The sequence below is a fragment of the Homo sapiens genome, chromosome 4 (assembly GCF_000001405.40).
Source record: "Homo sapiens chromosome 4, GRCh38.p14 Primary Assembly".
NCBI classification, from domain to species: Eukaryota; Metazoa; Chordata; class Mammalia; order Primates; family Hominidae; genus Homo; species Homo sapiens.
In genome coordinates, this window is record NC_000004.12 from 25,292,916 (window position 1) to 25,302,410 (window position 9,495).

The 9,495-nt window shown below is 41.3% G+C and overlaps 1 long non-coding RNA gene across 1 annotated transcript; it reads left to right on the forward strand.

Moving 5' to 3' along the window:
- The first annotated feature begins 364 nt into the window (after positions 1 to 364).
- On the forward strand, positions 365 to 9,010 carry LOC124900685 (uncharacterized). The gene is made up of 2 exons (XR_007058088.1): positions 365 to 719; positions 8,241 to 9,010. It is a non-coding gene; the product is annotated as an uncharacterized LOC124900685 (long non-coding RNA).
- Positions 9,011 to 9,495: the final 485 nt, after the last annotated feature.

A 9,495-nucleotide genomic window follows, 5' to 3' on the forward strand; every position in this document is an offset into this window, starting at 1 on the left:
ATGCACCTGTGGCCTGAGCTACTCAGGAGGCTGATATGGGAGAATCGTCTGAGCCTGGGAGGCAGAGGCAGAGGTTTCAGTGAGCTGTAATTGTGCCACTGAACTCCAGCCTGGGTGACACAGGAAGTCCCCTTCTCAAAAACAAAACAAAACAAAACAAAAAACCCACAAATGTCCAGCTTGGTCAACATGGTGAAAACCTGTTTCTACTTAAAATACAAAAATTGGCCAGGTGTGGTGGCATATGCCTGTAATCCCAGATACTCGGGATGCTAAGACAGGAGAATCACTTGAACTGGGAGGTGGAGATGGCAATGAGCCAAGATTGCACCACTGCACTCCAGCCTGGGCAACAGAGCGAGACTCCATCTCAAAAAAAAACAAAAACAAATTTATTTCTTAAAGTTAAAAAAATATCTGAAGCAAATATGACAAGATGTCCACATTTGTTAAAATCTGAGTGGTAGGTAAATGTTTTTATATTCTGTTATTTTCCAAGTTTCAATTATTTTACTGTTTAAAAAAGCTTGTATAATATGAGAGAGTACATTTACCTGAATGTTTTGTTTGCCACCTTTATTAGGTTGTGAGGACTGCCATAACAAAATACCACAGCCTGCATGGCTTAAACAACAGAAATTTATTTTCTCATGGTTCTGGAGGCTGGAAGTCCAAGATCAAGGTGTTGGTAGAATTGGACTTGGAGACAGCTGCCGTCTGTACGTATCCTCAGGGGGTCTTTTCTCTGCATGCACATCCCTGCTGTCTCTTTCTCTTCTTATAAGGACCCCAGTCATATTGAATTAGGGCTCCACCCTTATGACCTCCTTTAATTTTAAAGGCCCTATCTCCAATTACTGTCACACTGGGGATTAGGGCTTCAAAATATGAATTTGGGGAGGACATGATTCAGCCATAACACCACCCAAAGTATTATATAAAGGTTGTAAGCACCTATGTATGCATTAGCCAGTACCCCTTCTTAGTCATATCCCCAGTGGAAGATTGAGATAGGATAAGGATCTTGAAACTATTGAGTCTTCAACCCACCTATAAACCCTTCCTAAAGTGAGTGTGAGAAGCTTTTACTTAAGTGTAGGAACTTTTCAACCTGGATCTGCAGTACCTATTTTGACTACTGAGATCAAGTTCTTTCTTATGACCAGGCTCATGGTTCTATTCTACAGAGTTGTGAACCAGAACAGCTCATTTCTCAATTATGACAGATATATTAATTTGCTGCAGCCCTTGTGTATTTCCTAAAATTCTCAGTCCTGAATGGATAACAGTTTGTATGATAGATACAATTCACTCATTGAATTCAACAAACATTGGGTGCTCATTGTGTGCCGGATTCTCAAAACATTGGTAGGAGAGCAAAAATCAATAAAATACAGCTTCATTTCTGGGATTCACTCTTCAAATACTGTTCAAAGTGAGGGAGAGGAAGCTGAAAATGGTAATAGCTCTAAAGTCAGATATTTTCTAGGGAATAATATCCTAATCCTTGCTCTTACATGTTTTATACCTGCATATTTCTACCTTTGCTTCTTAGATGATAAATTCCTTGCATACAAGGAAAAGAACTTAAATGTTCTATACACCAAATGCTTGTTGACTGTTTTTAATGTGAACTCTCTACATTTTTCTTATTTATAATAGAAACATATTTTCAGTGTCTGGATTTCTCATGTATTGTGGAGGGCAAAGCTTTCATTCCACCTCTTGATATGTTTAATCAGGTCCTTGGGGCTGGGGAGTGGATAGTCTCCAAAGATGGCCACTATCAATTCCTTCCCTTTTTGTAAGCATGAGTTGTTCCATTCATCATGAAGTGGGATCTACCTCCACTCCCCTTCTACTTGGGCTGGCCTTGCAGCTTGCTTTAACCTTACCCTTTAAGAAACCACGGAGCCTCCATTGTCACCCTGGGAAGTCAGCAGCCATGTGTGAAGTCTAGTTACCTAGAGCCCACTGTGCTATGAGGAAGTCCAAATTAGTCTCATGGAAAGGCCATGTTGGAAGAGAAAGAGAATGTCATTCTCCACTTACTACAACATCATCTCTACTAAGAAAATTAACACGCTGGACGCAGTGGCTCACGCCTGTAATCCCAGCACTTCAGAAGGCTGAGGCAGGTGGATCACGAGGTCAAGAGATTGAGACCATCCTGGCCAACATGGTGAAACCTCGTCTCTACTAAAAATACAAAAATTAGCTGGGCATGGTGGCACTGGCCTATAGTCCCAGCTACCCTGGAGGTTGAGGCAGGAGAATCGCTTGAACCTGGGAGGCGGAGGTTGCAGTGAGCAGAGATCCTGCCACTGCACTCCAGCCTGGCGACAGAGCAAGACTCCGTCTAAAAAAAAAAGCAGAAAAAAAAAAAGAAAATTAACAAAAAATTCCCACTCCACTATATAGACCATATTAAAATTTCTTCAATTATTCACCAAATATATATTTTACAGCTAGATTTTTGTGTGTGTGTGTGTGTGTGTGTTGGGATCCAATGAAGTTTTATACATTGCATTTTATTTTATCTTTTTCTTTTTTTCTTATTTTTGAGATGGAGTCTCGCTCTGTCGCTGAAGCTGGAGAGCAGTGGCGTGATCTCAGCTCACTGCAACCTCTATCTCCCAGGTTCAAGCCTCCTGGGTTCAAGCGATTCTCATGCCTCAGCCTGCCGAATAGCTGGGATTACAGGCACGTGCCACCAGGTCCGGCTAATTTTTTTTGTGTTTTTAGTAGAGATAGGGTTTCACCATGTTGGCCAGGCTGGTCTCGAACTCCTGAACTCAAATGATCCACCCACCTCAGCCTTCCAAAGTGCTGAGATTACAGGCATGAGCCACCGGGCCCGGCCTTGTTTTATCTTTTAATCTAGAACAGTTCCTTTGCTTTCCTCTGACATTAACATTTGGAATATTCTTGGTTCTGGATTTGTATAAGTATCTCCTCTTGATGTTCAACTTGATCCTGTAATCTATAGTCTATAAACTGGAAGTGATATCTAAAAGCTTAAATAGGTACAGGTTAAATATTTCTGGCAAAGTATTTCATTGATGGTGCTATAAACTTAATATCGCCTTTACATCAGGAGTTAGATAAGAGATCTTTAATTTTGATTGAATAATTCATCATGGTAGAGAAGAAGTCCCAAAGGATCCAGAGAGCTGTGGCAGCAGGAACTCTGTTCACAATCATAAAATATTCTTGTCCGTGTAGTACTGTTAGATCTTTCCTGCACTTCTTTGAAAACTTAATTCTTGTCCCAGCTTCACCAATGAGTTTTTATTCAGCTCTTTTTAAATGATGATGGTGTTTTGATTTTCTCTTTTTAATTGACAAGTTAAAATTGTATATACTTATGGTGTACAATATGATGTTTTGGTATATGTACATGTTGTGAAATGGCTAAATGTTTTATTTATTTATTTATTTATTTATTGAGATGGAGTCTTGCTCTGTAGCCCAGGCTAGAGTACAGTGGCGTGATCTTGGCTCACTGCAACCTCTGCCTCCTGGGTTCAAACAATTCTCCTGCTTCAGCCTCCTGAGTAGCTGGGATTACAGGTGCGCACCACCACACCCGGCTAATTTTTGTGTTTTTAGTAGAGATGGGGTTTTGGCATATTGGTCAGGCTGGTCCTGACCTCAGGTGATCCACCCGCCTTGGCCTCCCAAAGTGCTGGGATTACAGGCATAAGCCACCGCGCCCAGCCACTAAGCTTTTACCATATGCATTAGCTCACTTTTGTGTGTGTGTGTGTGTGTGTGTGTGTGTGTGTGTATCTGGTGAGAACACTTAATATCTACTCCCTTAGCAATATTCTTTTTCATCTTTTCTTTTTTTTTTTTTCAAAGACAGGGTCTCACTCTGTAGCCCAGGCTGGAGTGCAGTGGTGAGATCCTGGTTCACTACAAACTTGACCTTCTGGGATCAAGGGATACTTTTACTTCAGCCTCCTGGGTACCTGCGACTACAGGTGCACGTCACCATGCCCAGCTAATTTTTAACTTTTTAGAAATAAAGATGGGATATTGCTATGTTGTTCAGACTGGTCTTGAACTGCTGGCTTCAAGTAATCCTCCCACCCCAGCCTCCCAAAGTGCTGGGATCATAGGTGTGAGCCACTGTGCCTGGCTGAGCAATTTTCAAGGATACAATACAGTATTGCTGGGTGTAGTGGCTTGTACCTGTAATTCTAGCACTTTAAGAGTCCAGATGGGCAGATAGCTTGAGCCCAGGAGTTTGAGACCAGCCTGGGGAACATGGTGAAACCTCGTCTCCAAAACATTTTTTAAAATACAAAAGTTAGCTGCGCGCAGTGGCACATGCCTACAGTCCCAGCTACTCAGGAGGCTGAGGTGGGAGGATCACTTGAGTCAAGGAGGTCGGGGCTGCAGTGGGCTAGGATCACACCACCGTACTCCAGCCTGGGTGACAGAGCAAGACCCTGTTTCAAAACAGAATAAAAGAAACAAACAAACAAAAACCAAACAAGATAGTATATAAACTGCAGTTACAAGATGTGCAGTAGATCTTTTGAACTTATTCCATCTAACTGAAATTTTGTGTCCTTTGACCAACATCTCCCCAATCCTCCCACCCGCAGCCACTGCTAACTACTGTTTTTCTCTTCATTTTTATGAGATCAATTATTTTTTTACATTCCACATATAGTGGTATTATGCTGTATTTGTCTTTTTGTGCCTGACATATTTCAGTTAACATGATGTTCTCCAGGTTCACTCACATCACAAATGACAGGATTTTCTTCTTTCTTGAGACTGAATGGCATTCCACTGTGTATTATGCCACATTTTCTTTATTCATCTTCCACTGATGGACACACGGGCTGATTCCATACCTTGGCTATTATGAATAGTGCTGCAATTAACATGGGAGTGCAGATATCTCTTTGACATACTGATTTCATTTCCTTTAGATATATGCCCAGCAGTGGGATTGCTAGATCATATGGTAGTTCTATTTTTAAGTTTTGGAGGAATTCCTATACTGTTTTCCATAGTGGCTGTACTAATTTACATTCTCACCAACGGTGTACGTGGGTTCCCTTTTCCCCACATCTTTCCATCACTTGTGGTTCTAATTTGCATTTCTCTGTTGATTAGTCATGTTGAGCATTTTTTCATACACCTATTGGCCACGTATGTCTTCTTTTCAGAAATGTCGATTCAGATCCTTTGCCATTTTAAAATCAGATTGTTTACTTGTTATTGAGTTATTTGAGTTCCTGATATATTTTGGCTATTCATACCTTATCAGATGAATTGCTTGTAAATATATTCTCCCATTCTGCAGGTTGTCTCTTCGCTCTGTTGATTGTTTCCTTTGCTCTGAAAAGCTTTTTAGTTTGATGGAATCCTTTTTATCTATTTTTGCTTTTGTCGCCTGTGTGTTTGGGGTCACACCCAAAAACTTATTGCCTTGACTAGTGTCATGGAACTTTTCCCTTATGTTTTCCTTCTGTAGTTTTATAGTTTCAGAACTTGTATTTTAAGTCTTTCTCCATTTGGAGTTGTTTTTTTTGGCATATAGTGTGAGATGAGAGTCTACTTTCATTCTTCTTCATTGGATATCCAGTTTTCCCAGTGCCATTTATCGAAGAGACTGTCCTTTTCCTACAGTGTGTTCCTGGCATCTTTGCCAAAAATCCATTGACCACAAATGTGTGGCTTTCTCTCTGGGCTCTCTATCCGGTTTCATTGGTCTGTGCATCTGTTTTTATGCCAGTACCATGCTCTTTTGATTTTCATCAAGCAAACGTACTAATCTTTTCACAATATCAAAAGAATATTGTCATGATTGATACTAATTAAGGAAAAAATCTCCAGGGAACAAAATACATAACACGCAACGAGGTGGTATTTGACTTCTAATCTGTGAGTTCTCATTCACTAATGTGAGCTATTTTGCTTTTACCCAGTGTTCCTCATAAGAAGATTCCTAAATATTGTGAGCCTATTGCTTGAACATTAAAAATATATAATAAAAATGCATTTATCTAAGCAAACTGCATTATTAATCAGCATCATTTTGTTTACTAATTTTTAACCTACTTCAGAAGCCATATAAAGAGTTCTTCAAGAAAATAAATCCTTAAGCTTTAAAGTTTTTATTCTACCACTAAGCAATGACAATCGATTTAACTTTTGTCACTTAAAAATACTGTAAACTTACTTACTTTATGTTCTAAATGTTGTCTATCTTCAGTAAGTGGATAGAAAGTATGTACCATTCTGTTTTGAGTTTGGGTTTTGGGATAGGGACCTGAGTTTAAATCTTGGTTCTGCCCTTTGTTAGTTTCATGTCTTTGAGCAGATCTTGCAATCTCCCAAATCTGCTCTTTCTCCACGTATAAAAGACATGAGCAAATAGCTCGTGACGTTTGTACCAAGGATTAAATGAGGGTTGTTTTGTGAAAAATGTGGCATGAGCGGTCTTCATCTCCACTGAGCAGAGTCTGTGTGTTCACGGCACTTTTGGATCTTTGGTTTTAGATGACGAAATAAGGCATGCACCCATGTTTATGGGTTTGGATTATTGCATAAAGTGAATATGTGTGCATGCAAATTTCTAGATTTTATGACATCTTTCTTGGAGCACGGTGACAAATTTGGAATCATAAAGCTATTAAAGTTTTCTGTTCCATGGCATATAAGGGGTTACTCTGGGCTTGACAGGAAAAGGCACCTGAGGTCCCTAGTTAGAGACTTATCCAAAGCTGACTCCAGGATAGACCAAGTGGCATTTCCAAATGTATTTGTTCAGAATCCTGGCGCCTGGGTCTAGCGGGTGAAATGCTAACCTGGCAGTCAGTAGCTGGTGCTCTTGCATGTTGTCTTGTGGGTTTTTTAAGATCTGGAAATTGAAAGCATGTGATATCAAAAAGAAGCCGCTAATCTCTATAAGCGAAGAGATGTGTTTATTTTTCCTTTGACTCCCAGAACGCTGCCTGCCCCAGAAGCTCTGGTTACACAATTCCTACCTGACAGGTAAAGCTTCGGAAACTTCTGAGACTCACAGAAGCAGCAGAAAAATCAAGTAGACTTGCCTTCCCCCAAGAGTCAGAAAGTTGTATAAACATCTTGGGCTGGGCCGATCCCATAGCCGATGGAACTGGTTTAACCAGGTGCTTCTGCCTGAACGCCAGTCTGGGAGAACAACACTGCCTTTGATCTCAGTGTGGCTTTGGGAACAATCTAGAAAGCTACTGTAGCCTTCAAGTGTTTGTTTTAAATTGCAGTACTTAAAGGTAACCAGGAACTGCATTTAAACCCAAGTACTTGTTTAAACCAGGGAAGTAACTGCACTAGTATGACTTCTAAGCAATTTATCATCTAGCTACACTTGCTATCCATGTTGTCTGTGAGGAGTTGGAAATGCTTCATTCCCTGAATTTCTGGCTAAAGTCCTGCTCCTTCAGTGGGACAGTATCCCCTTAATATGTCTTGAGGACAAATGTTATTACCTTTAAGTTTCAAAAGTCTGAGGCTCGGGACAAGTTGTCATGGTTATGCAGAAGTTTAATGTAATCCTTACAGGAATGAAGTGGAAAAATCTTTGACTTTGAATGAAGAGATTAACTCAATTCTAGTGGCTGTTCTCCTTATAATTTGGGGCAGGTTATTTAAATTTCCTGTGCATGCATATGTATCATCTGTGTACATGTCTGTGTGTGTGCTTGCTTATTTATTTCACAGTGCTACCACACGTATCTTGGTATATCTTTTTTTTTTTTTTTTTTTTTTGAGACGGAGTCTCGCTCTGTCACCCAGGCTGGAGTGCAGTGGCATGATCTCGGCTCACTGCAAGCTCTTCCTCCTGGGTTCACGCCATTCTCCTGCCTCAGACTCCCGAGTAGCTGGGACTACAGGCGCCCACCACCACGCCCGGCTAATGTTTTCTATTTTTTAGTAGAGACGGGGTTTCACCGTGTTAGCCAGGATGGTCTCAATCTCCTGACCTTGTGATCCACCCGTCTCGGCCTCCCAAAGTGCTGGGATTACAGGTGTGAGCCACCACTCCTGGCCGTATCTTGGTATATCTCACTTTACTGGGTGCTAACTGTTGTCCATGCTACACTGGACATCTCCTGTTTTCTCCTCCAGATCTACTCTCCACCCTTCCCTCCTGCCTTGTGCTCTGGGAGGCTGACTTTCATGGATGGCACTTTTATGGACACCTCTCACTTCTGGTTGCTCTTTGCCAATAGGAGACACACAGAAGAAAGATGTGTAAGCTGAAGGAGGAGAGTGAGATTGAAGCATTTATCTCGCCAGCTTCTGCCCGGTGGGCTTGTCGTGGTTGGCTGAAGCCCTCTACCGAAGGCCACAGCTGTTGTAGACCTGCGTTTTCCATATACTTATTCTTTTTGGGTTCTATGAAAGTTCCAGAAACTTCCATGTCACTTTGACCTTGTAGACCTAGGGGTAGAAATGGCTCTCTGCTGTAATAGCCTAGCCTTAAGATAATGCATGTTCTCTTGAGTGGTTTATTTTAACTTGGCCCACAACCTGGCAAATTGTCCCTCTATGAAATGCCCCTCCATTAACCCACTTGAATGTGTCATCTGTGTCCTGCCAGCGTCCTGAATGTCACACATGTGATCTTATTTAATTCTTATTGCAGCCAGGAAGAGTTTTATATTATTACCACATAGCACACTTGAGAAAGCCTCAGGGATATGAAACACCTTGCCTGAAGTGACATACTTTGTAAACGGGAGGGCAGGACTCCAAGGGAGGCCCTCTGGCTCAGCTCTCCTGCCCCTTGCTATGCTGAACTCTGTTGGATTACCTCTGCGAGTCTCACACGTATGGTTTCACAGCCCCCTTTTCATAAAAATACTTGGCAAACCTCTTGACTTTCTTGAAATGAAATTAATAAATTATACAATTTATCTAAACACCTAATTTCCAATAAAATACATATATTAAAAATAAAAGGACAGTTATTTATAATAAAATATAGTCATGAACTGCATAATGATGTTTTACTCAGTGACTGACCATATATACGATGGTGGCCCCATAAGATTACAGAGCTGAAAAATCTCTAGTGACATTGTAGCCATTGCGCTGTTGCGGTGCAATTTCTATTTTCCATTTTTTTTGAGACAAGATCTCGCTCTATCACTTAGGCTGAGGTGCAGTGGTGCAATCACAGCTCACTGCAACCTTGACCTCCTGAGCTAAAGCAATCTTCCCACCTCATCCCACCCCTCCTCCCCATTACCCCCCAATCCCACCCCACCGCCCCCACAGTGGGACTACAAGTGCCTGCCGGCATGCCCAGCTAATTTTTAAAAAAAATCTTAGTGGAGATGAAGTCTCGCCATATTGCCCAGGCTGGCCTTGAACACCTGGGCTCAAAGCAGTCCTCCCGCCTCAGCCTCCCAAAGTGCTGGGATGCAATTACTTTTTAAAAAGTAAAATTTGGTATAGCCTAAGTGTACAGCATTTACAAAG